The sequence below is a fragment of the Homo sapiens genome, chromosome 4 (assembly GCF_000001405.40).
Source record: "Homo sapiens chromosome 4, GRCh38.p14 Primary Assembly".
In the NCBI taxonomy this organism is placed as follows: Eukaryota; Metazoa; Chordata; class Mammalia; order Primates; family Hominidae; genus Homo; species Homo sapiens.
In genome coordinates, this window is record NC_000004.12 from 92,425,367 (window position 1) to 92,451,129 (window position 25,763).

General features: G+C 37.7%; 1 protein-coding gene across 5 annotated transcripts in view, besides 8 other annotated features; it reads left to right on the forward strand.

The window, feature by feature from the left end:
- GRID2 (glutamate ionotropic receptor delta type subunit 2) overlaps positions 1 to 25,763 on the forward strand; it is a 1,506,491-nt gene that overhangs the window by 121,401 nt on the left and 1,359,327 nt on the right. The gene's annotated exons all lie outside the window — the stretch shown is intronic.
- Positions 6,747 to 7,679: an enhancer, noted in NCBI's record as "H3K27ac hESC enhancer chr4:93353264-93354196 (GRCh37/hg19 assembly coordinates)". NCBI's record gives its function as "activates a minimal SCP1, AML or CMV promoter by ChIP-STARR-seq in primed H9 embryonic stem cells {active_cell/tissue: H9 hESC(primed)}" and the evidence as "EXISTENCE:reporter gene assay evidence [ECO:0000049][PMID:30033119]".
- Positions 7,680 to 8,612: an enhancer, noted in NCBI's record as "NANOG-H3K27ac hESC enhancer chr4:93354197-93355129 (GRCh37/hg19 assembly coordinates)". NCBI's record gives its function as "activates a minimal SCP1, AML or CMV promoter by ChIP-STARR-seq in primed H9 embryonic stem cells {active_cell/tissue: H9 hESC(primed)}" and the evidence as "EXISTENCE:reporter gene assay evidence [ECO:0000049][PMID:30033119]".
- Positions 11,569 to 12,080: an enhancer, noted in NCBI's record as "H3K27ac hESC enhancer chr4:93358086-93358597 (GRCh37/hg19 assembly coordinates)". NCBI's record gives its function as "activates a minimal SCP1, AML or CMV promoter by ChIP-STARR-seq in naive H9 embryonic stem cells {active_cell/tissue: H9 hESC(naive)}" and the evidence as "EXISTENCE:reporter gene assay evidence [ECO:0000049][PMID:30033119]".
- Positions 13,277 to 14,171: an enhancer, noted in NCBI's record as "OCT4-NANOG-H3K27ac hESC enhancer chr4:93359794-93360688 (GRCh37/hg19 assembly coordinates)". NCBI's record gives its function as "activates a minimal SCP1, AML or CMV promoter by ChIP-STARR-seq in naive and primed H9 embryonic stem cells {active_cell/tissue: H9 hESC(naive and primed)}" and the evidence as "EXISTENCE:reporter gene assay evidence [ECO:0000049][PMID:30033119]".
- Positions 14,172 to 15,065: an enhancer, noted in NCBI's record as "OCT4-NANOG-H3K27ac hESC enhancer chr4:93360689-93361582 (GRCh37/hg19 assembly coordinates)". NCBI's record gives its function as "activates a minimal SCP1, AML or CMV promoter by ChIP-STARR-seq in primed H9 embryonic stem cells {active_cell/tissue: H9 hESC(primed)}" and the evidence as "EXISTENCE:reporter gene assay evidence [ECO:0000049][PMID:30033119]".
- Positions 15,066 to 15,959: an enhancer, noted in NCBI's record as "H3K27ac hESC enhancer chr4:93361583-93362476 (GRCh37/hg19 assembly coordinates)". NCBI's record gives its function as "activates a minimal SCP1, AML or CMV promoter by ChIP-STARR-seq in primed H9 embryonic stem cells {active_cell/tissue: H9 hESC(primed)}" and the evidence as "EXISTENCE:reporter gene assay evidence [ECO:0000049][PMID:30033119]".
- Positions 18,641 to 19,534: an enhancer, noted in NCBI's record as "OCT4-NANOG-H3K27ac hESC enhancer chr4:93365158-93366051 (GRCh37/hg19 assembly coordinates)". NCBI's record gives its function as "activates a minimal SCP1, AML or CMV promoter by ChIP-STARR-seq in naive and primed H9 embryonic stem cells {active_cell/tissue: H9 hESC(naive and primed)}" and the evidence as "EXISTENCE:reporter gene assay evidence [ECO:0000049][PMID:30033119]".
- Positions 19,535 to 20,427: an enhancer, noted in NCBI's record as "OCT4-NANOG hESC enhancer chr4:93366052-93366944 (GRCh37/hg19 assembly coordinates)". NCBI's record gives its function as "activates a minimal SCP1, AML or CMV promoter by ChIP-STARR-seq in naive H9 embryonic stem cells {active_cell/tissue: H9 hESC(naive)}" and the evidence as "EXISTENCE:reporter gene assay evidence [ECO:0000049][PMID:30033119]".

Here is a 25,763-nt window from a genome sequence, read left to right on the forward strand (position 1 = left end):
ACACAAGCACAAAAACACAATGGAATAAAAACAAGAAAACAAGTGTTAGCTAGCGACTGATCACCACAAAGTGAAATTTTAACTTGCATCACAATATTTTACTTGCTTGAACTTTTATACTTTAGCTGGATATTTCATGAAACGATGATTTCTTCTCAAGGTTGAAAAGGGTGCTGTTTAGGACACATAGTAGCAAAATAAGGTAATCCATATTATATAGTGTTTTACTTCTGACCACCTCTTCTGTAGTATGTTTGTGTAGCTTATTCTGTCTAGGCAACTGCCTACTTTCCCACATGGATTGGGCAGGCATTACTGAAGTGCCAAAATAGACTGTAGTTAGATTGCCTAGTTTAAATTCTGGCACCATTATGTCCCAGCTGTGTGATTTAAGATAAAGTAATCAACTTCTCTGTACCTTCATTTAATAATTTATGAAAGAGATGAAAAATGCCAACTAACTTACAAGGTGGTTATGCAAATTAATATATTTAAAGCATTGACCAATCTGTAACTACTCAATATGTATTAGGTGTTATTATTATTTGTATTTTTTAATCAGGAAAATTATCCTCTATCTTCTTTAGCTTTCTATAGCTCTCTCTTCCTTAGCCTCTGAAAGATAACCTAATCCCACCTACTTTCTTTCTCTTTAACATCTCACTTGGACACCTGAGCAACTGCTGTATGCATAGTACAATGCAATGAATACTTTATGATTCAAACACACAGTTCAGGCTTTCTATGGTAACTTGTACTTCATACATCTCTGGCATGTAGTTTTCTCAGATATTTGATCAGTTTCATATGTCCAAAGTTATGTCACATTTAATGAAACTATAACTAATAATAAGACCTTGGGTCATTCTCTGACCACCAATACTGAAATACCTAGAATAACACAAATTCCTAGGACTTCTTGGTCCACGGAATATATGGTAACATGATATACAAAGAACTTTCATGTGATGAGCTAAAGCAGGAAAATGGTATTCAGGGTAGAAAAGGTATATGCTTTGCTTAAGGATGTGATAAATAATGTAACACAGTTGGGAATAACCAATAATTGTAGATGTCTACCTGATCTAGTCTGTCCATTTTAAATGACAGCAGCAATCAGTATTAATGCTAAAACAAGGAATTACAAACATAGTGCAACCTTCAGATACACAGAAATGATAGCTTCATCTAAATCCAGAAGATACTGCTTAAGTGAGGTTCTGTAGATACTCAAGTATATGAAGAGCAACAGTATGAAATGCTTCCCCTTTGGAAATACAATCACAAAGAACAAGAGCAAATATCTTTCCTTTGATTTGTTGAAAAACTGTTTATTATATATTATGTGAAATTATCACATACATTTTTTTCACCTTTTCTTTCCACTGATACAAGCATTTGTTCATGGACCTGAAGGGACCTTCTCTCTCTTTTATTACTATATAAACCCTAGAAATGCAAAAAGCATAAGGTCACCTCCTAGAAGAAACCTTCCTAGATTATCTGACATGAAAATCATATTTAGTAGGTGAGCCATCCAAGGGCTCATGTTTTAAAATGGAGGAGGGTGAGCATACCTATGTGTGTTAGTGTCAGGACACAGGTTTTTGACCAATGGTATCAAAATCACTGGGTTAATGTCATTTCCCTTCAATCTCACCTACTAGGAACTCAGATCACATTGAATTATTAAATAGTGGACTTGAATTCAGGCTTTTATGTGTTTGTTCTATTTTTGGCTTAATGTCTTACTAACTTCCTATACTCTGATCCGGCTCAAAATATCAGAAGGATGCTCCAAATAATACATACATTTTCATTCTTGTATTAGTTAATCTTGTATTCTTTCATATTGGGTTTGGCTTTAGTGGGTTCCAATTATGGGACCTTATCAGTATTTAGACGACATTCTTGATCTATTATGTTCCCTAAAACGTATGACAAATATATTTTGATGAATGAATGAATGAATAAATGAAGGGGTTGGGATAAACAGCCCCATGAAAATGAAAAAGATAGCATACAAACATAGGTTTGTTGAGTTATGGACTAAATTGCAACCCACATTATTGATAAAAAACTGTTTTCTTGTTGTTAAATGCTGTATTTTCAGTCCATCTCAGATGTTATATAGAAAAATATACTAGGAAAAGCTAGTACAATGAATGGTCCCTAGACCTTCTATTTTGCCTTATTATAATTGTAGATGGAAAATTCAATTTTTAAGAAAATGTAAATAAAGAGATCATGATAAGGAGATGACTTTTTAAAAGGTAGCAACTAGAACATTTTATCAAAATAGCAACAAAATGTTAACAAATAGAGCGAATAGACCAAGTTATCTTGGTTTCAGTTGGTTAAGTTTAATTAAATGAATATAATAAGCCCAACACAGTACAAAGTTTTATTGTAAATAAGTTTTATAGATTTTCTTATCTTAATGAATGCAAAGTTTTTGTTGTGTTTTCTACTCTAATTGAAAAATAGAAAATATTCGAAAGACTTACCAAAAATCAAGCTATTGCTAGGGAAACAATCTACTCTGTGCTTCTTTGGAGATTAGAATTATTTTGTTTTCAATATTTGATTAATGCTAATAAAAATAATAGTTTTGGGCCAGGCACGGTGGCTCATGCCTGTAATCCCAGCACTTTGGGAGGCTGAGGCGGGCGGATCATGAGGTCAGGAGATCAAGACCATCCTGGCTAACACGGTGAAATCCCGTCTCTACTAAAAATACAAAAAATTAGCCGGGCGTGGTGAGGGGTGCCTGTAGTCCTAGTTACTCAGGAGGCTGAGGCAGGAGAATGGCATGAACCCGGGAGGCGGAGCTTGCAGTGAGCTGAGATCACGCCACTGCACTCCAGCCTGGGCAACAGAACGAGACTCCTCACAAAGTAATAATAATAATAATAATAATAGTTTTGAAAAACATTTTGTTTGGCATTTATTTTTCAAGTTTCTAAAGAATTTACTGGAGGCATTGTAAGAAATTCATCTTTAATTCTTATTCTTTTGTTTTCTTTTTTCTCTCTTAACTTCTGATATTTCCTTCGGTAATCCTGTTACAGTTTCTAAATTTTCAGTAAGGAAAACAAAAGAGAATAGAACTATAACAGGTTTATTTTTTCCTTGTGGACAATTGGTATATTCCCGTATATTCTTTCCCTGTGATATTAAGAAGAGATAGCATTTATCATAATTTTCTTTTTATTGAACATTTTGCTTTGAGTATTAAGTTATAACTATTATGTTTTTTGCTAATAAGAACATGTAAGTAAACTAACTTACATTTTATTTACCATATTTTAGAAATTAAACACATGGATGTCAGAGACATTTTGTGAAGCTAAGACCTACATTTCCTATCTTTTAATGTTTATTTTATTATGCCACTTCCATGATAGTTAAACTAGTATTTTTTATTTTTATGCATGCACAGTAGGTGTGTACATTTTTTTGAAAACATTATGAATTTATTTATATACATGTTCCACAAACATTTTTTTTAAATTATACTTTAAGTTCTGGGATACATGTGCAGAACGTGCAGGTTTGTTACTTAGGTATACATGTGCCATGGTGGTTTGCTGTACCCATCAACCCGTCATATACATTAGCTATTTCTTCTAATGCTATCCCTCCCTTACCTCCACCCCCCGACAGGCCCCAGTGTGTGATATTCCTCTTCCTGTGTCCATGTTCTCATTGTTCAACTCCCACTTATGAATGAGAACATGCTGTGTTTGGTTTTCTGTTCTTGTGTTAATCTGCTGAGAATGAAGGTGTATACATTGATGGGGTGCATGAGATATTTCGATGCAAGCCTACAATGCATAATAAGCACATCAGGGTAAATGCAGTGTCCATTATTTCATTCAAATATCCAATATCCCAGCCTCTTGTAAATATTCTATTTTCTGTCTTCATAAGTTCAATTGTTTTAAGTTTTAGATCTCACATGAGTGAGAACATGTGAACTTTGTCTTTCTGCGCCTGGCTTATTTCACTTAATGTAATGTCCTTTCATTCCATCCATGTCATTGCAAATGACAAGAACTTAATTCTCTTTTATGCCCGAATAGTACCCCATTCTGTATGTGTACTGCATTTTCTTTGTCCTTTCATCTGTTGATGAAGAGCTTAGGTTGCTTCCAAATCTTGGCTATTGTGAATAGTGTTACAATAAATATAAGAGTGCAGATATCTCTTTGATATACTAATTTCCTTTCTTTTGGAAAGGAATCCAGCAGTGAGATTGCTAGATCATATGGTAGTCTATTTTTAGTTTTATGAGGAACCTCTAAATTGCTCTCTATAGTGGCTGTACTAATGTAATTTAGTCCCCAGCAGAAGTGTACAAGCATTCTGTGTTCTCCACACCCTCGCCAGCATTCATTATTGCCTGTCTTTTGGATATAAGCCATTTTAATTGGAGGGAGATGATAGATCATTGTAGTGTTGATTTGCATTTCCTTGATGATCAATGATATGGAGCACCTTTTCATGTACCTGTTTGTTGTTTGTATATCTTCTTTTGAGAAATGTCTATTCAGATCTTTTGCCTAGTTTTTTAAATCAGATTATTAGATTTTTTCCTATAGAGTTGTCTGAACTCCTTATATATCTGGTTATTAATCTCTTGTCAGATTGATAGTTTGCAAATATTTTCTCCCATTGTGTGAGTTGTCTCTTCACTTTTTTGATTGTATCCTTTTCTGTGCAGATGCTTTTTAACTTGATGTGATCAAATTTGTTCATTCTTGCTTTGGTTGTCTGTGCTTGTGGGGTATTACTCAATAAATTTTTGCACAGACCAATGTCGTGGAAAGTTTCCCCCATGTTTTCTTGTGGTAATTTCAGAGGTTGAGGTCTTAGATTTAATCCTTCAATCCATTTTGGTTTTATTTTTGTATGTGGTGAGAGATAGGGGTAGTTTCATTTTTCTGCATATGAATATCTAGTTTTCCCAGCACCATTTATTGAAGAGAATTTCTTTTCTCCAAAGTATATTTTTGGCATCTTTGTTGAAAATGAGTTCACTGTAGATGTATGGATTTGTTTTGGTTCTTGGTTCTCTATTCTGTTCTATTGGTCCATGTGTCTGTTTTTATGCCAGTACCATGCTGTTCCAGTTACAATAGCTCTGTAGTATTATTTAAAGTCAGGTGATGTGATTTTTAAAGTTTTTCTCTTTTTGCTTAGGATAGCTTTAGCTATCCTGTGTCTTGTGATTCTCTATACATTTCAGGATTATTTTTTCTATTTCTCTGATGAATGTCATTGGTATATTGATAGGGATTGCATTGAATATATGGATTAGTTTGGGTAGTATGGACTTTTAAACAATATTGATACTTCTAATCCATGAACATTGAATATCTCCGTTTTTTGTGTCTTCTTCAGTTACTTGCATCAATGTTTTACAGTTTTCCTTGTACAGATCTTTCACTTCTTTGGTTAAGTTTATTCTCTGTTATTTTATTTTATTTGTAGCTGTTGTAAATGGGATTACTTTCTTGATTCCTTTTTCAGATTGTTTGCTGTTGGTATATACATATGCTGCTGAATTTTGTATGTTGACTTTTTTGTCTTGCAACTTTACTGAATTTGTTTATCAGTTCTAATAGTTTTCTTGTGGACTCATTAGGTTTTTCCAAATATGAGATCATATAAGCTGAAAACGAGGATAATTTAACTAATTCCTTAGAATTTGGATGACCCTTTATATATTTCTCTTGTCTGATTGCTCTAGCTAGCACTTCCAGTACAATGTTGAATACAAGTGGTGAAAGTGGGCATCCTTGTCATATTCCAGATCTTAAAGGAAGGGCTTTAGATTTTTCTCATTCAATTTGATACTAGCTGTGGATTTGTCATATATGGCTTGTATTGTATTGCAGTATATTTTATCTATCCCCAGTTTTTTGATGGTTTTTGTCATGAAGGGATGTTGAATTTTATCAAACACTTTTTAGGCATCTATTGAAATGATCATATTGATTTTGCCCTTCATTCTGTTTATATGATGTATCACATCGATTTGCAAATGTTGAATCATCCTTGCATCTCTGGGATAAACCCATTTGGTCATGATAAATGATTTTTTAATATATTGTTGAATTTACTAGTATTTTATTGAGGATTTTTGCATCAGTGTTCAACAGGGATATTGGCCTGTAGTTTTATTTATTTATTGTTTGACGTGTCTTTTTTTTTTTTTTTAATAACAGTGTAATATCCTTCAAACATGAATAAGAAAGACTTTCCAGAAAAAAAGACTTTCCGTCTCTATGTTATCTTGAATTTCATTTAGCTTCCTCAAAACAGCCAGTTTGAATTCTCTGTCTCCCCCAGATTGGTTTCTGATGCCTTATTTAGTTCATTTGGTGAAGTCATGTTTTACTCTTGATGCTCGTGGATGTTCACTGATTTCTGGGCATTGAAGAGTTAGGTATTTATTGTAGTGTTCACAGTTTATGCTTGTTTGTACCCATTCTTCTGGAAAAGGCTTTCCAAATAGTCAAATAGAATTGCATGTTATAATCTAAGTCTTTGGTCATCACTGTAATTGTGTCTGCATTGGGGGAACCCCAAGCCCAGTAATGCTGTGACTCTTGCACACTTGTAGAGATACCACTTTGGTGGTCTTGAATGAAATCCAGGTGAACTGCCTGGTTTACCAGGCGGGGAATCTTGTTCTTTTCCCTTACTTTCCCCTCAACAAGCAGAGTCTCTCTTTTCATGCTGATTTGCCTGGAGCTAGGGGAGGAGTGACACAAGCATCTTTGTGGCCACCACCACTAGGACTGCTCTGGGTCATACCTAAAGCCAACACAGTATTGGGTCTCTCCTAAGGCCCATGGCGACCACTGCCTGGCTACTACTGATGGTCATTTAAGGCCCAAGGGTTCTTTAGTTAGCAGGTGGTGAATCCATGCAGGCTGGTGTCCTTTCCTTCAGGGTAGGGAGTTCCAGCTGGCCCAGGGTGGGTCCAGAAATGCCGTTTGGGGACCAAGGCCTGAGTCACAAACCTTAGGAATCTACTTGGTGCTTTATTCTGCTGCTTCTGAACTGACAGCCAACCTGAAAGACAATGGCTTTCCCACTCTTTCCTCTCCTTTCTTCAAGCAGGAGGAGTCTTTCCTCATGGCCACCACTACTCCAGGCCTGTGGGGTACTACTTGGCTACTGCTGATGTTCACTCAAGGCCCAGTGCTCTTCAGTCAGCTTGTAGTAAACACTGTCAGGCCTGAGTCTCTCTCTTCACTGAAGTGGGCTCCCCTGTGGCACAGTGCAAGTCCAGAAATGCCATTCAGTAGCTAAGGCCTGGAATCAGGAACCCCATGAGCCTGCTTAGTACTCTACACAACTGTGGCTGAGCTGCTACTCAAGCTTCAATATAAAGTCCCCTTTACTCTTCCCTCTTCTTTCCTCAAACAGAAGGAGCCTTTCCCCATAGCCACCGCAGCTGGGAATGTGCTGGGTCACACCTGAAGCCAGCAGGGTACTAGGTCTCCCCCAAGGCCTGCAATGAGTATTGCCTTCATCTGCTGATGTTTACTCAAAGCCCAAGGGCTCTTTATTCAGCTGGTGATGAATCCTTCCAAAAACGGTCCTTCCCTTAGGAGTAGCAGCTTTCCTTTTTGTTCAGGGTGTGTCTAGAAGTATCATCCAGGCGCTGGGACCTGGGATGGGGGCCTCTGGACTCTGCCTGGTGTCCTATTCAAATGTGGCTGAGCTGGTATCCAAGTTCCAAGACGAAATCCTGTTTACTCTCCCCTATCCTCTCTTCAAGTAGAAGGAAGGAGACTCTCCCAGAGCTGCAAGCTGTACTGCATGGGGTTGGGGGAGGGTGACACAAGGACTCCCTCAGTCACCCAAGGCAGTGCCTCACTATGTCATGTACACCTCAAGTCCACTGGCTCTGGGCCCAGCACAGCACTAAGCTGTGCTCAGGAATTGCAGTCCTTGCGGCCTAGACCGCCTTTCAAGTTTATGTAGGTTGCCAGAGTGCTTTAGCCTGCAATGGCGGTGCTTGCCAGAACTTAGGTTCCGACTGCTGGGATGGATGATTCCCCTCTGGCTAGGTCTCATCTAAGTGCTTCCTCTGTGGGTGCCAGCTGAATTTTGCCCTGTGTTGCTTTCTGCTGGAACAGACACACTGAGTTCCAATGCCAAGTCCCACAATCATTGCAAGCACACAGATTCTCTCCCCACCTGCTGCTGGGGAGTTGGGGAGGGGTGGCATTAGCAATTCAAGACTGTCTTTCCACCCCCTTCAGTGCCTCTGTCCTCAATATAATGTTACAACCAGGTACTGTGATTGATCACCTGATTTTTGTATCTTATGGAGGTGCTTTCTTATGTAGATAGGTGTTCCTGTGGGGAGGATGAATACTGAAGGGTTCTATTCAGCCATCTTGCTCTACCTACCTTTCCTAAAATCATATTTTAATTTATCAAATCAGTAATTAGTTTGTCACCTTCCTTAAAAGATAACATACACATATTTAATGAAAATTAAAAGAGAGCAAGCAAGAACAGAAATAAGAATAAATAAAAAAGAAGAACCTAGAATGAGGCCAATAATGCATATCATATACTTTACACAGTGGGATCATGGATTTAACTTTCAGTTTTCTATAAACCCACGTCAAAATTGTTACACAATTCACGATGTCCGTAAATTTAAAACAACCAGTTATTCTTTGAGATAATACGTTGTTCTCAGTTTTCTTCAGTAGTAATATCAGAGTAGAAATTTTCCAAGTGGAGCGGCTATTCCAGACACTGTGTGACATAATACAATTATTCTCAGCAACATCCTTTCAGGCGATTCCACAGTGGTTTTCATGGACTGTTTTTTTTGCGTGTAGTCTCTGATGGCCACACAGCAAAAGATGGTCCAGCCAAAGCAATTTTATAAGTTTGTAGAGTGTAACAGAGGCATTTCCTCACTGACTGGATCAAGGAGTATGTGTATATTTGGGATTTGAAGTAGCTTTTTTATTTCTGAAACAATGTTCTCTTAAATGGCGTTAAACATAACCTAACAATGCATTCGGAATTCTGCTGTTTTCCTTGCGCCTATGGTAAATTCTAATGTCAGTTAAAGTCAGACCACAGGACTTAAAAGATAATCCAAATGAGATTATAGGTGTCATATATTTAGGTCAAAAATAGAGAGCCTAGAAAGGACAACAGCTTAATTTGAAGCTATCCTGACCTCCTTTGGAGGTCAATTAAATAGAATAGAGATAGGGTAATTTTATATTATTTAATTTTCACATATATCAGTTTTGGTGGTTTAAATAACTTCTAATATATTTGAAAAATGAATAGCAAATTAAATAAAGCATTTTCTAATAATACAAATTTTTCCAAAAGGGAAATTAATATAATATATAGATAGATAGATATAATTTGATAGGTCTCTCTGAAGTCAACTGTATTTCCTACTGGATATGTGAGAAAATGCTCATATGAAAATTTAGCACCCCTTAATCCCTATAATGCTGTAGAAAATTCGAATATTTAAAAATAGAAGATTACTTGCTGTCGTTGATCACATGGGAATGGAATTCAACAATTCAAATGTTAGTATTCTTACTTTTATACTATGAAGGCTAAATAGAGTAGGAAAATGCATATTTATATCCAAGATTATTATGTCTTTATGATAGCAGTATATCTTCTATGTTTCATTTACACAGGATTATGTACCTCTTCATTTTTAATATTTACTGAGCCCTATGTAAGTGGGCACCCCATCTGCAGTTTTCCTAGAGGTTTCTTTCTGTTCCTGGGCCACCAAACCGGATTTGTGTTTTCATTATCAGGGTTGATAAGATCCTTGGGACATTTCACAAATTTCCTTATAGGGTATGTAAATTATTTCAACCTGAGTGTAGCTTTGTGATCGAAGGAGTTTATGACAGAAAATAGTAAAATGTAACTATTCAAAACAGAAAGGGTCAAACTTAACTGGAAGCAGTATCCATGGAGATGATGGGGGAGATGTGAAGAAGATAGATGTGCCTTTTACAGTGGAAGAATGTGCTACAAGTGTCATGAGTATTCATCTGTCTAGAACAGAGTAGATAATAGTTCCCTTCTTCATTTATGTCATACCCTACTTGAGTCTGTCTGGAATGAGACCCTGTCTGGAATACAATAAACCAGAGTGAGACTATGTGAATCACAACATACGATGACTGATTGAAGGTGCTAGCATGTTGAGCCTAGAGAAGAAAAGCTTTTCACTATTTTCTACAAGAACTTTCCGAGCTTTCATATAAAATGTACTTTAGGTTTTCCATGCCATTGCAGAGAAGAGTACTAGGGTCCATGGATGAAAGTGTAGTGAGGAAGACTAACTCATTGTGAGGAAGAACTCTCTGTGATTGATTCTGGAATTGTCTGCCTCAAGAAGTGGTTTGTTCTCCATCACTGGAAGTATCTAGACATAGGATATATTTGTCAGGAATATTGCATAGAGAGATTTTATCAGAGTAGCTTGACAGACTACGTTCTTTTTATCCTTGCATTTCCTTTGGACCTTATGATAGATTTTGTTGTTGTATCTGAGATTGTTTGGTATAGTTTTAGAGACTGGAATTGGTGTGCCATGTGAGAAGATAATAGCAGGCATATGAGACTTCACAAGGAAGTTTTGTTGACTAATGGGAATTAAGGATTATATTCCATGTCTTCATAGTGAAAGGAATATTACTAATGGTGGATCCTACATGCTATGAAAGTGTACCGCAAAATTATTCTATTAAATTCTCAGTTTCCTTTAAATTAATAATTCTTGGAGGATAAATAATGGCAATGTGTACAGGTAACCATCATTATTTAAAACACCTTTTGTGTGTGGGCAACAAACATTTAACTAGGTAAATATGAAAACACTAAATGTTGACCTTACCAAAAATTCAGAGAATCCTATATCAATGAATTAAAAATTTCTCAAAATACTAAAGATGTGGCAATAAAAAAAGTCTTGACATTTTCCCATTTTCAATATTAAATTATAATCAATTTGTTATTATAGGGCTAAAGATTTCAGTACACATTTCTGGGCATCTGATTTTATTTTATTTATGAAATGCTACTACTATTTAAATTTTCTCAGCTTTTTTTTGGTTTGTTTACATTTTTGAATTTGTTTAACTGACATAAGTATCATTTTGTTTTTCTAACTGTGAAGTGTACAGATAGTCTTGAACAAGTGCTATCTACTAGAAGATTATTAAGAATAATACATTGCATCATAATGGTTATGGAATCTCTCTTAGGTTGCTTGTGTGTGTGAATGTATATATGTAGCTATAAATGTGTGTTAAATATGTATTAGACATATTAGACTTATTTCTACATACATTTAATATTGAAGACAAAGGAAAACAATCTCCTAAATGCCTGATACTTTCATAATTTATTAAGGAATGATTTATTTATGATATAAGAATAATGTCTGTTGGGCCAATAAGTGGCATATTTATTTAAAATTATGTGTATAATGTTTATCATATGAAATAATAGGTAATGAATGCTTTATGTACTAAATACAATAGTATAAAATATATTAGCAAGTTTGATTTAGCTGTAGATTTGGCTATAACAATTTTTAAACAACTCAAACAAATGTATAAATTCTTAAAATGTGAGTAAATTTTGAAGGACAGATTCTAGTTAATTTATAAGTTATGTGTCTATAATTGACTAAGATGTTCGTATTTGAATCATGTGGGTCTTATACCAATTAAAGAGAAATTTTACTTTAAATTGTAAGATTCTTTAAATTCAAAATAAATATTCGGTGCACTGAACTTGGGCTATGACTAGCATTTCACCGACGAATGATTGGAAAAAAAATGATTCATTTATATTTCTCTAGGAATGCTTATTTTTAGTTTTTGTTTTGAGACAGATTCTCGCCCTGTAGCCCAGCCTGGAGTGCAGTGGCACAATTTTGGCTCATTGCAACCTCCCCCACCCAGGTTCAAGCGATTCTCATGTCTTGGCCTCCCATGAAGCTGGGATTACAGGCATGCCTCAAATAGCCCAGCTAATTTTTGTAGACAGGGTTTTGCCTTGTTCCCCAGGCTGGTCTCAAACTCCTGGCCTCAAGTGATCTGCCTGCCTTGGCCTTCCAAAGTGCTGGGATTACAGGCGTGAGCTACTGGGCCCAGCTGACTGCTTAAAGGACTATTATTAAATGTTTGAGTGGTTCTGGAATCAACGTCTTTAATATGCTGATATTTGATTATTCATATGTCCTTTTCTGTTTAACCTCAAAGGTTTCACTAACAAAATCAATATACAGAAGGTATTACTCAGACATGAAAACACATTTAATACTTCCTTCTTTCTATATTACATCTACATGGCAACTTGTGGATATTGAGGCTCCAATAAATTGGATTGCTTCGGCTCAAGGTAAACCACCACTTTAAGAATTAATACCTAAAGAAAACAAAATTGCTTAGATGTTTTGTTGCTTATTAAAATGATTTATATCTCAGTATTAGTTTCAGATCCATACAGTCTTTCTTTGAACTCTTTTTACTAGCATTTTTTTCTTGAGCCAAGATTACATGCATTTTTTAAAGTTCATTTTTCTGATTTTATTCATTGGACTTTAGCTGGGCTTAGTGTGCCACAATAAATAATCTCCAAGAGTATTTAAGGCTGTTAAGTATTTCCTAAGACTATTTATGACTTTCCATCGTTGGTATTGTAGTTATTTTATACGTACATATGCCAGAAATAACATAAAAATGTATGCCAATAAATTTCATGAATATCTCACCTTTTTTTTTCCTCTTAATATCAGGATACAATTTATCTGCTGGTTTGTGCTTCTAAACACTAAACCAACTATGTCACACAAAGCTTACTTTAAAAAAAGAAAGCAGAGGGACAGTATGATGTATTTGTCATTAAAAGAAAAATAGGCTGCCAGGAATCTCGGAGCACATATACTCAGATGCAATGATTGATTATCATCTTATCGCATATTTTTTTTTGTGCTCCCATAATCCCTGTCCTTTATCTTAATATCTAACACCAATTTTCTTGTCATTTTCTTTGTTTTTATTTAATAGTGTATATGTGATGAGGCATCTAAAGTCAATATTGGCATTATACTGTAAGGATTCTATTAATTTTTATAAAATAATATTCATTTGGCAGTTTACCTTCTGTGTGTGTGTGTGTGTGTGTGTGTGTGTGTTTCTATACTAGTATTTTAGCCATGGGCACATGTTCGTGCTGTTTTTCCCAACTCTTCGTTGGCTACCATGGAATCTATTTAACTAGTGTCTTCTTTTAACTGAAGAATCCCAGTCGTTCTAGGAGAAAGTTGTATTTTTGAATTCTCTTCTTTGATCTGATATAACCCTCAAGAAGAAAATCTGTAGATACATGAATGCTTATTCTTTTACCAATGTCCCCTGTGCATCTATTCATGTAATATCCCATGAAACAATATCAACATTTGGTTTTCTAGATTATTGCCAGCACTGTGAGATAGTTACAGTATATCCTGCCTTCTCTCCAACACTGGTGTCTTGCATTTCATGCGCGTCCCTGTGAAGAGACCACCAAACAGGATTTGTGTGAGCAACATGGCTGTTTATTTCACCTGGGGGCAGGTGGGCTGAGTCCGAAAAGAGAGTCAGCGAAGGGAGATAAGGGTGGGGCCGTTTTACAGGATTTGGGTAGGTAAAGGAAAATTACAGTCAAAGGGGGCTTGTTCTCTGGCGGGCAGGAGTGGGGGTTGCAAGTTGCTCAGTGGGGGTGCTTTTTGAGCCAGGATGAGCCAGGAAAAGGACTTTCACAAGGTAATGTCATCACTTAAGGCAAGGACCGGCCATTTACACTTCTTTTGTGGTGGAATATCATCAGTTAAGGTGGGGCAGGGCATATTCACTTCTTTTGTGATTCTTCAGTTACTTCAGGCCATCTGGGCGTATATGTGCAAGTCACAGGGGTTGCAATGGCTTGGCTTGGGCTCAGAGGCCTGACATTCCCGCCTTCTTATATTAATAAGAAAAATAAAACAAAATAATGTTAAAGTGTTGGGGTGGTGAAAATTTTTAGGGGGTGGTATGGAGAGAGAATGGGCGATGTTTCTCAGGGCTGCTTCAAGCGGGATTAGGGGCGGCGTGGGAACCTAGAGTGGGAGAGATTAAGCTGAAGGGAGGTCTTGTGGTAAGGGGTGATATTGTGGGGATGTAAGAAGAAACATTTGTCGTATAGAATGATTGGTGATGGCCTGGATACGGTTTTGTGCGAATTGAAAAACTAAATGGAATAACAGAAGGAGAAAAACAGGCATAAAAGGTTTAAGAATTGGGATGACTCAGGACATCTGATGAGAGAGTGCCTAAGGAGATTCAGCATAGTCCTGCCAGCAAAGATTATTTATTTACTTCAAGAGTTAAGAGTGGCAGTTTGGGGATAGCACCAGGAGATATCAGCTGTGATGGCTTGGAGAAACAGTGTAAACCGGCAGTGTAAACAAGAGCAGGGCATGTATGAGTAGTTGAGAACGGTGAATAGGAGTATGACTAGACAGAAGATAGTAGGGATGACAAGTTTTTTGGGGGCACAGTCTAAGTTGGTCTGGTGTCAAATGAGACTGGGGCCTAATAAAAAGGAGCATCTGTACAGGAGCTTAAATGGGCTGTACCCTGTAGCATTCCGAGGACAGGCCTGAATTCTGAGAAACGAAAGTGGTAAAAGTATTGTCCAGTCCTTTTTAAGTTGGTGGCTGAGCTTGGTGAGGTGTGTTTTTAAAAGACCTTTAGTCCGTTCTACTTTTCTTGAAGACGGAGGACCTTAAGGGATATAAAGGTTTCACTGAATACTAAGAGCCTGAAAAACTGCTTGGCTGATTTGACTAATAAAGGCTGGTCTATTATCAGACTGTATTGAGGTGGGAAGGCTAAACTGAGGAATTATGTCTGACAGAAGGGAAGAAATGACTGCGGTGGCCTTCTCAGACCCTGTAGGAAAGGCCTCTACCTATCCAGTGAAAGTGTCTACCTAGACTAAGAGGTATTTCAGTTATCTGACTCAGGGCATGTTGAGTAAAGCTAATTTGCCAGTCCTGGGTGGGGCAAATCCTCGAGCTTGATGTGTAGGGAAGGGAGGGGGCCTGAATAATCCCTGAGGAGTAGTAGAATAGCAGATGGAACACTGAGAAGTTATTTCCTTGAGGATAGATTTCCACGATGGAAAGGAAATGGAGGTTCTGAGAGGCGGGCTAGTGGCTTGTACTATAGCATAACCTGCCTTTGCTGGTGTGTGGTGATTAGGCCTGGTGGAACCGCCATCAATAAATCAAGCGTGATCAGGGTGAGGAACAGGAAAGAAGGAAATTTGGGGAAATGGGGTGAATGTCAGGTGGATCAGAGAGATACAGTTATGGGGGTCAAGTGTGGTATCAGGAATAATGTGGGAGGCTGAAGTCTGGGCCAGGAACAACGGTAATTGTGGGAGACTCAATAAAGAGTGAGTATAGCTGAAGGAGCCGGGAAGCAGAAAGTATATGAATCAGGTATGAGGAAGAAAATAGATTTTGGAAGTTATGAGAACTGTAGAGAGTGAGTTGAGCATAGTTTGTGATTTTGAGGGCCTCTAAAAGTATTAAAGCAGCGGCAGCCGCTGCATGCAGACATGAGGGCTAGGCTAAAACAGTAAGGTCAAGTTGTTTGGACAGAAAGGCTACAGGGTGCGGTCCTGGCTCTTGTGTAAGAATTCTGACCGCACTAACCATGCCTAGGAAGGAAAGGAGTTGTTGTTTTATAGAAGGTGTTTGGGTTTGAGAGATCGGTCGGACAAGATTGGCAGGGAGAGCACGTGTGTTTTTATGAGAATTATGCCGAGATAGGTAACAGATGAGGAAGAAATTTGGGCTTGATTGAAGTAATGGGGGCTGTCTGTGAAGCTTTGCAGCAGTACAGCCTAGGTAATTTGTGGAGCTTGATGGGTGTCAGGGTCAGTCCAAGTGAAAGCGAAGAGAGGCTGGGATTAAGGGGCAAAGGAATAGTAAAGAAAGCATGTTTGAGATATAGAACAGAATAATGGATAGTAGAGGCAGGTATTGAGGATAGGAGAGTATATGGGTTTGGCACCACGGGGTGGATAGGCAAAACAATTTTGTTGATAAGGCGCAGATCCTGAGCTAACTTGTAAGGCTCGTCTGGTTTTAGGACAGGTAAAATGGGGGAATTGTAAGGAGAGTTTATAGGCTTTGAAAGGCCATGCTGTAGCAGGCGAGTGATAACAGGCTTTAATCTTTTTAAAGCGTGCTGAGGGATGGGATATTGGCATTGAGTGGGGTAAGGGTGATTAGGTTTTAATGAGATGGTAAGGGGTGCATGATCGGTCGCCAAGGAGGGAGTAGAGGTATCTTATACTTGTGGGTTAAGGTGGGGGGATACAAGAGGAGGACGCAAAGGAGGCTTTGGATTGGGAAGAAGGGAGGCAATGAGATACAGCTGTAGTCCAGGAATAGTCAGGGAAGCAGATAATTTAGTTAAAGTGTCTCAGCCTAATAAGGGAACTGGGCAGGTGGGGATAACTAAAAAGGAGTGCTTAAAAGAGTATTGTCTAAGTTGGCACCAGAGTTGGGGAGTTGTAAGAGGTTTAGAAGCCTGGCCGTCAATACCCACAACAGTTATGGAGGCAAGGGAAACAGGCCCTTGAAAAGAAGGTAATGTGGAGTGGGTGCCTCCATATTGATTAAGAAGGGGACGGGCTTACCTTCCACTGTGAGAGTTACCTGAAGCTTGGCGTCCGTGATGGTCTAGGGGGCTTCCGAGGCGATCGGGCGGTGTTAGTTTTCAGCCGCTAAGCCGAGAAGATCTGGGAAGGAGTCAGACAGCCTTGCGCCAGAGTTCCAGGGGCTCTGAGAGTGGCTCCCAGGTGAGTTGAACAGTCCGATTTTCAGTGGGGTCCTACACAGATGGGACACGGCTTAGGAGGAATTCCGGGCTGCGGGCATTCCTTGGCCCGGTGGCCAGATTTCCGGCAAGTGTAGCAAGCTCCTTGGGGAGGAGGTTCTGGAGGAACGCCTGGCCGCTGCGGTTCAGGCGTTTGGAAGTTCTTGTGTGCTGGAGATGTGGCTGGGGTTTGTCTCACAGTGGAGGCAAGGAATTGCAACTTTTTTCTATTATTGTACACCTTGAAGGCGAGGTTAATTAAATCCTGTTGTGGGGTTTGAGGGCCGGAATTTAATTGTTGGAGTTTTATTTAATGTTGGGAGCAGATTGGGTAATAAAATGTATATTGAGAATAAGATGGCCTTTTGACCTTTTAGGGTCTAGGGCTGTAAAGTGTCTCGGTTGCTGGCAAACAAGTCATGAACTGGGCTGGATTTTTATATTTGATGAAAAAGAGCCTAAACGCTATCTGATTTGGGATAAAGAAAAAGGAGCATTAACCTTGACTATGCCTTTAGCTCCAGCCACCTTTTTAAGAGTAAATTGTTGGGCAGGAGGGGGAGGGCTAGTCATGGAAGGAAACTGTAAGCCGGACCAGGTGTGAGGAGGGGAGGTGATAAAAAGATTATAGGGTGGAGGAGCGGAGGCTGAGGAAGAATTGGGACCTAGCTCGGCCTGGCGAGGAGCAGCCTGGGGAGGAAGGGAGAGGTCAGATGGGTCTGTAGAAAAGGAAGATTAGAAAGACTCAGCGAGGCTTGGGGTTGGTACTGAGGGGACAGGCAGGAGGGAAAGAAGGAAGATTTGGGACGAGTTGCACTGGGCACAGAGACTAGGAAGGGACTGATGTGTAAAAGAATGCCTGGACGTCAGGCACCTCAGACCGTTTGCCTATTTTATGACAAGAATTATTTAGATCTTGCAGGATGGAAAAATTCAAAGTGCCATTTTCTGGCTATTTGGAACTACTGTGGAGTTTGTATTGGGGTCAAGTGGCATTGCAGAAGAAAATAAGGCATTTAGGTTTTAGGTCAGGTGTGAGTTGAATTGGTTTTAAGTTTTTGAGAACACAGGCCAAGGGAGTAGAAGGAGGAATGGAGGGTGGAAGGTTGCCCATAGTGAAGGAAGGAAGCCTAGAGAAAAGAGAGAGTAGAGAAACGGAGGGAAGGGGTTTGGGGGTTCTTACCTTCCAGAAAAGTGGGAAAAGGGGTTGGGGCACAGAGATAAGAGGTCGGGACGTGGAAATAAGTGATTGGGGCACAGAGATACGAGGTTGGGGTACTTGCCTCTCCTCTAGAAAAGCGGGACTTGCCGCTAAGAGTGAAGGAGAAGGGGTTGGAGTACTTGCCCTGTGCCCGGAAAAGCTGAGAAGGGGTAGAGACAAGGAGAGAAGGGGTTGGGGTACTTGCCCCTTCCCCAGAAAAGCAGGACTTGCCGCTAAGGGTGAAGGACCAAGGCAGGCGTCCCTGCGTGGTATGACACCTTTGAAACGTGGGTTGAATAATCAGAGAGGCGTCCCTGCAATGATTAAACACCAAGGGAAGGCTGCCTTTCCAGTCTGTGACCGGCACCAGAGTTTTGGGTCCACAGATAAAATGTATCTCCTTTGTCTCTCCCAGAAAATGGAAGGAATTGAAATTAAGAGATGGGAGAGATTGAAGAGTGGAAAGGAGAAAGTGGTTGAGGGACAGTGAGAGAGATTGGAGAAGAGAGTCAGAAGAGGCCGCTTAACTGATTTAAAATTGGTGAGATGTTCCTTGGGCTGGTCAGTCTGAGGACCTGAGGTCATAGGTGGATCTTTCTCACGGAGCAAAGAACAGGAGGACAGGGGATTGATCTCCCAAGGGAGGTCCCCCGATCCGAGTCATGGCACCAAAATTCATGCGCGTCTGTGTGAAGAGACCACCAAACAGGCTTTGTGTGAGCGACACATCTGCTTATTTCACCTGGGTGCAGGCAGGCTGAGTCCGTAAAGAGAGTCAGTGAAGGGAGATAAGGGTGGGGCCGTTTTATAGGATTTGGGTAGGTAAACGAAAATTACAGTCAAAGGGGGTTTGTTCTCTGGCGGGCAGGAGTGGGGGTCACAAGGTGCTCAGTGGGGGTGCTTTTGGCGCCAGGATGAGCCAGGAAAAGGACTTTCACAAGGTAATGTCATCACTTAAGGCAAGGACTGGCCATTTACACTTCTTTTGTGGTGGAATGTCATCAGTTAAGGTGGGGCAGGGCATATTCACTTCTTTTGTGATTCTTCAGTTACTTTAGGCCATCTGGGAGTATAGGTGCAAGTCACAGGGGTTGCAATGGCTTGGCTTGGGCTCAGAGGCCTGACATTTCGTACTATGGATATAATGTAAAAAGGGGGCGTTTGTCTTCTCTTTTTAAATATCCGTACAGAAGTCTCTGCTGCAACATAATAAATGACAAATGCCAGAATATATCCTAAAAATTTAGCACATGTGGACAGTGGGTTTACTTAGATGTTTATTTTTGCCCTTACATATTTTTGGAGGATTGATACATTTTTGGTATCACTTTTGGTATTTAAACAAATAGGTAAATATTTTCTCAAAAAGTGAAGACTTTTTTTTCAGACAAATCTATGAGAAATTATTGGCTTAACAAATCACAAGTTTTGTCACGTATGCCATATTTGTTTGTTTGTTTGTGAAAGGATTTTGGGTATTAGGCAACTGTAGCAGACATCATGTATCTGGACTTTAGCGAGTCATGATCACTCATCATCTAGTAAAAATATTTAATATTTATATAAGGCTTATTATGTGCTAGATACTCTTCAAATTATTTCACATCTCTTAACTCATTTGATCTTGTTAACAGTGCTACAAAGTAGATGATTTGATTTTTGCCCTTGTATTGATGAGTAAAATTAGTCTAGCAAGTAGCAGATGGGTAATTTGAGTCCCAGACTCTCTTGCCCTAGAATTAGTTTTATAATCACAATGTCGTGCTGCTAAACAATTGAGATGCATCATTCCTGACAATCTTTGCCTTCACCCTTCAAGTACCATATCAGCATATAAAAGTGAAGGATGATGCCTTCCAGTGAAGGTTCAAGGCTTTTGCCTGAAGTTTATATTATTTGTTTGAAATCTTTTTCAGCCATGGAGATATTGAAGGAGATTTTATTAAACTTTCATGTTGTATACAGCTGAAAGAGTGTTTTAAAAAGTGATATGTAAAATGACAGTTTTGGTATTCAAAAGGAGCAATGGTGGAAATCCAACAATAAATATGGCAGGGATAAATGTAAGGTGCTACCCTTGAATCCAATAACCCATGAAACAAGTAGAGCATAGGAGAGAGCTGATTTAGGAACAAGCCATGGGAAGAGGTCTAAGGGATTATGATACAGACTAGCCCCATCGTGGTGTGGTTCCCCAAATAACAAATTCTATCTTAGGTAGGCTGCATTTCTATGTTGTAATTTATTTATTGAATAATCTTACCTTGGTTAGTGCGTAATTCTAAACTTTTTCCAATTAACATTTTTAGCTCTGCTATTGTTAATCATTTCCCATGCTTTAATGTCACTGTGAACACATTTTTAATTTTTTCTAATGTTTTGTTACTAAAATCAGTATAAAACTCTTATCTCATATTTTTTGTTTGTTTGTTTTGAGACAGAGTCTCCCTCTGTAGCCCAGGCTGGAGTGCAGTGGCACTGATTTCGGCTCACTGCAACCTCTGCTTCCCGGGTTCAAGCGATTCTCATGCCTCAAGCTCTGGAGTAGCTGGGACTACAGGGTTACGTCACCATGCCCTGTCTAATTTTTGTATTTTTAGTAGAGACGGGGTTTCACTATGTTGGCCAGGATGATCTCGAACTCCTGACCTCAAGTGATCAGGCCACCTCAACTTCCCAAAGTGCTGGGATTACAGGCCTGAGCCTCCACACCTGGCTTTATCCCATATTTGATTTAAATTGTATGTTCTTACCTCTTCTTGGTACCCAAATTGAGACCCTAACAAATTGGAGTGGCAAAGAACTACCACAAGGTCTGACTCTGAGATAAATGTCTCTTCTTTCTCTTTGATATATAGTTGCTCCAGTATGTTAGGTCAGAGAAGAGAGAGCAGAAAGTGTTAAGTGTATCTTTATTCAACATTTACTAATACTATCATTTATTTGCTTTCTCTGCTTTGCAGACTTCTGTGTGGCTCTCCTATGAGGCTCATTCATGGATTCTTTAGAGGACCTATTGTAAAGTTCTCTGATATGGGAGATTCAATCTGAATCCAAGCTAGCTAGCCTCCATTAGAGTGAACCCCAAGCTGTACACACTGTTGGAACTTGTTTTTGAGGTCTCCTTAGTTACTATCCAGTGGCTCTAGCTCCACTACATTTTGTATATTTACTTGACTCATGGAGAACTTACATAGAGTTACTTCTAAGTCTACAGCCTGTTCTATTGCAACACCTTGCATAGATTGGTGGACCACTTGGGTGAAATGCAGAGAATATCATGCAAAGAATATCTGCTCTGCATGAATGATTAACAGCAGAAGTTCTCAAGTTTTACCTGATAACCTTCGAAGTAACACCAATTCCTTGATTTGCTCCTGCACCATCCCTTTTTGGATTCTGTCCAACAGATCTGCTATAAAGCCTGATGATTTTGTTTGTTTAAAGCACTTCAGCTAGTCAGCAAGGGTTCAGAAACACTAAATTAGATTACCTTACTCAGAATCCTATGATTCTATGTATTTTTATCCTCTTTAAAAGTACTTTTATAACTGTGATATTACTTTAATATTTTAAAACAACCATAAATAAGATTGCAGATAGTAATGCATTGGGTTTGCAAAAATAACTTTAGATAAAATATATTCCAGTTTGTATTTATGTGATAATACATTACCTCAAGACCTCAAAAATAGATTTGCTTTGTTTATATGGTTTCCTTCTATAAGTGAAAAAAACTAGTCCAATGAAATAAAGGGTTAAGACCCCTTAGAGGAAAAGGAAGATAAAATTATCTTCAGAAATGGCTATGGTAACACCTCCCAAGGCAAACTATTGGCAGACCTTCTAAGGGCAGATTGTGTGCATCTATGTAAGTGAAAAACAGCTGAAGGGTGTCAAGTGCTCTGAGTCACACTAGAGTCCCTTTAGATTTATTTCCCAAACCAAGTAGTAGTTGCCTTTTCCACCAGCCCACACAGTTCTATTATTTTCCTATCTTTGCTTTATGAATAGCTGGCTCTTACAGTACTTAACTTCTTATCTTAGTCCACTTGGGCTGCTAGAACAAAATATCATAAACTCGATAGCTTATAAACAACAGAAATTTATTTTTCACAGTTTTGGATGCTGAGAAGTCCAAAATCACAGTGCTTGCAGATTCCAAATCTGGTGAGGGCTTGTCCTTTGGTTCACAGACAGTACCTTCTAGCTGTGTCTGCTCATGTTGGAAGAAGCAAGCTAACATTCTGAGTTCTCTTTTATAAAAGGACTAATTCCAGTGATGAGGGCTCTGCCCTTGTGACCTAATAACCTTCCAAAGGCCCCACCTCCTAATACCATCACCTTATGGGTTAGAATTTCAAAGCAGAAATTTGGGGTGGAGGAGGATCAAAAATTCAAATATTCTGAACCCTTGCTGACTAGCTGAAGTGCTTTAAACAAATAAACAAAAACAAACATATCACTTATGTTGAAAACTAGTCAAATAATAAGGCATTTCTAACATAAGACCTCATGATCAAGTAAACTTACATGAAATGACCAGTGCAAAGACATGCTTGGGTAAAGCTTTTCTGTAGAGTAGTAGTATTGATTTTTATTTTATGTATGTATGTATGTATGTATGTATGTATGTATGTATGTATGTATGTATTTTGAGACAGTCTCACTCTGTCACCCAGGCTGCCTAGGCTGGAGTGCAGTGGTACCATCTCGGCTCACTGCAACCTCTACCTCTCGGGTTCAAGTGATTCTCCTGTCTCAGCCTCCTGAATAGCCGGGACTATAGGTACATGCCACCATGCCCATCTAACTTTTAGTAGAGATGGGGTTTCACTATCTTGGCCAGGCTGGTCTTGAACTCCTAACCTCAAGTGATCCTCCTACTTCGGCCTCCCAAAGTGCTGGAATTACAGGCATGAGCCACCATACCCAGCCCGAGTAGTATTGATTTTTAAAGTAAATTTTTTCATCACATCCCTACCAAATTATATACAAATTAAGTAACTAGCCCAGTTAGGAAAATAGTACACAAGTACTAAATCCATATTAAGATCAACATCTAAAAAAATAAACATTTACATAAATGGAAGAGACATTTTTTACTACATTTATTTGATTTTAATAATTTAATTTTATGGAATTTATGAAAATTTTATTTTTAGGAATTCATGAAAAATTCCAAAAATTTCAATTATTAAAATCAAATAAATGAGGTAAAAATTATGTAAGATATATTTGGGTAAAAAGCATAAACACATTTAAATATTTTATTAAAACATTTTAATTAACAGGAACATGTTTTAAAGGAACTAATACATAAAAATCAATTTCAATCTCATTATTCCTCACAATCACTTCCAGTATTCTGGAGCCTCAGGTTTTCATCCTTGATATTTATTTATAAAGATTATTATAGTCATATTGCTCATGTAATAGATAATCCCTCTCCACAACTAATATTTTATTATGATATTTTCTACATTATTACCTATTTCTCATAAATATAACTAGAAATTATCGTGCAATATTTTATTGGGTAACATGATTTAGTTAGCTATTTCTCCCATAATTATACATTATATATGGCTTACTCTTGGGTTTTGCTCCTACATATAGGACTGCTTTAGATCTCCATGTCACTAAGGTTTTACCATATTTGGATTATTTCCTTAGGATAATTTTTCAGAAGTGGGATTATTAAAGAGACTCAACATTTTTAAGTTTTTGTTTTGTAATGCAAAGTTGATTTCCATAACTTACAGTGCTGCCAGCAAGATAGGGAAACATCCAGTACACAGCCTTACTTTTTCCTTGAATTTGGAGCTCATCTTTTATAGTTTGTATAAAATATGATAGTTGAAAATAATATTTCATGGTCAGATCCATGTGAAATACAAATTATTGTATTAGTGGAGATGAGTTGAAAATTTTTTTCCATGTGTGGGAAATACATTTGCCTTTCTCCTCTAAAATATGTCTTTTTGGAAAATAGGAACTTCAGTATTTTGTGATCATTTGTATACACTCTTCATATAATAATAACTCTGTCATAACTGCAAAAATATTCATATTTATTCTTAATTTTACTAATTATACTCAAGTTTTTACTTGTAATATAATCAAATATGTCTATCTTTTCTTACTGATATATATATATATATATATATATATATATATATAACACTTAAGCCAAATTCATTTATATTTCAGAACAGTCAGGAATCTCTAGAAGCTTCATTAACTCTTTCCTACCATTATATTTAATTTTTAAGTCATGGCTTTAGAGCACCAGAGGTTAGTATGAGTAATTTAGTCAGTGAGAAAAGTTGGCTCCTTCTGGAAAAGCACCTTTATCAAAGCAATTCCATCAAAGCTGGCTTTGAATTTCAGAGAAAGCAATTAGATTAAAAGAAAATTAGGATCTTGGCTCACAGTAAGAGCATGTAAAACATAATTCATCTTGATTCAGCGTTTTAATATTCTATCATGGGTATCAAATATGTCAGATATGAAAAGTAATTTCAGCTTTGTTTTCAACTTTGCTAAGTTTGGTCACTGTTCCTTAGAAGCAAAAGTTTAGCTCTGATCATGTTGGAAAATAAAGTAGTTTTAGTCATTAAAAACAAAAATTTTATCAATAATAGTGTGATATTATAATAATGTCATATTTTCATCTTCTGGTGTACCTATCTTGTGCCTGATGTATAATAGGTGCAGAATTTATAATAGTAGAATGAATAGATGAATTTCCTGAAGTAGAATGCAGTGAGGCATTAAGCATGTCCTCATAATGCCTTTAGGATTGCCAAAAGTCTTGCTTAGGGGTTGAAAAAGAAGTAGAAATCAAATGATAAGACCTCGAAGGAACAGAGAAATCCAACTCAATGAACAGTAAAAATCAATGAAGGCAAAAAAGGTCCATTTTTATCTCATTCATCTTCAGAGATAGACCAGTGTAAGTTCATTGATTTACAGTGCTCATTGAGTTGTATTCTCCTGTTCTTTGTTGTGCTCCATTCTCTGTTTTTTCAGCTTCACTTTGTGTTTTATTTTAAATTGTATTTGTTATGAGGTGGGCTTTGATGGCATAGTTTTAGCACAATGAGACTATTTTTTTTCACTTGATTTTTCTACTCATATGATATCATCACTTTTCAATATTCTTAATGGTACTTTTCTGAATAACCTCCTTTAAATCTCTCTCTTTCTTTATGTTGATCTGTGTCAATCAAGTTTTTATGTGTAAAAGTGTGTTAATAAATTTAAATTTAAAAATAAATTTTAATTTAATTTAATTTTTAAATATTTATTTTAATAAATTTAAATAAATTTAATTTTTAAATAAGTTTAAATAAATATTCAAATAAAATAAAAATAAAATAATATTTAAATAAATTTAAATTAAAATAAATTTAATTTAAATTTATTATAGTGACCATACAAAACAAATAGTTGTTTCTATTCAGTTCACTCATAAAGAAATGTTATTTAACAAATATATTCAGCACCTTTCAATGCAATGCACTTTTGCAGTTGTCAAGCACCATAATTCACTTAGGTTCTGCCCCAGGCCTTTAATTATAAGTTCTTATTTATGG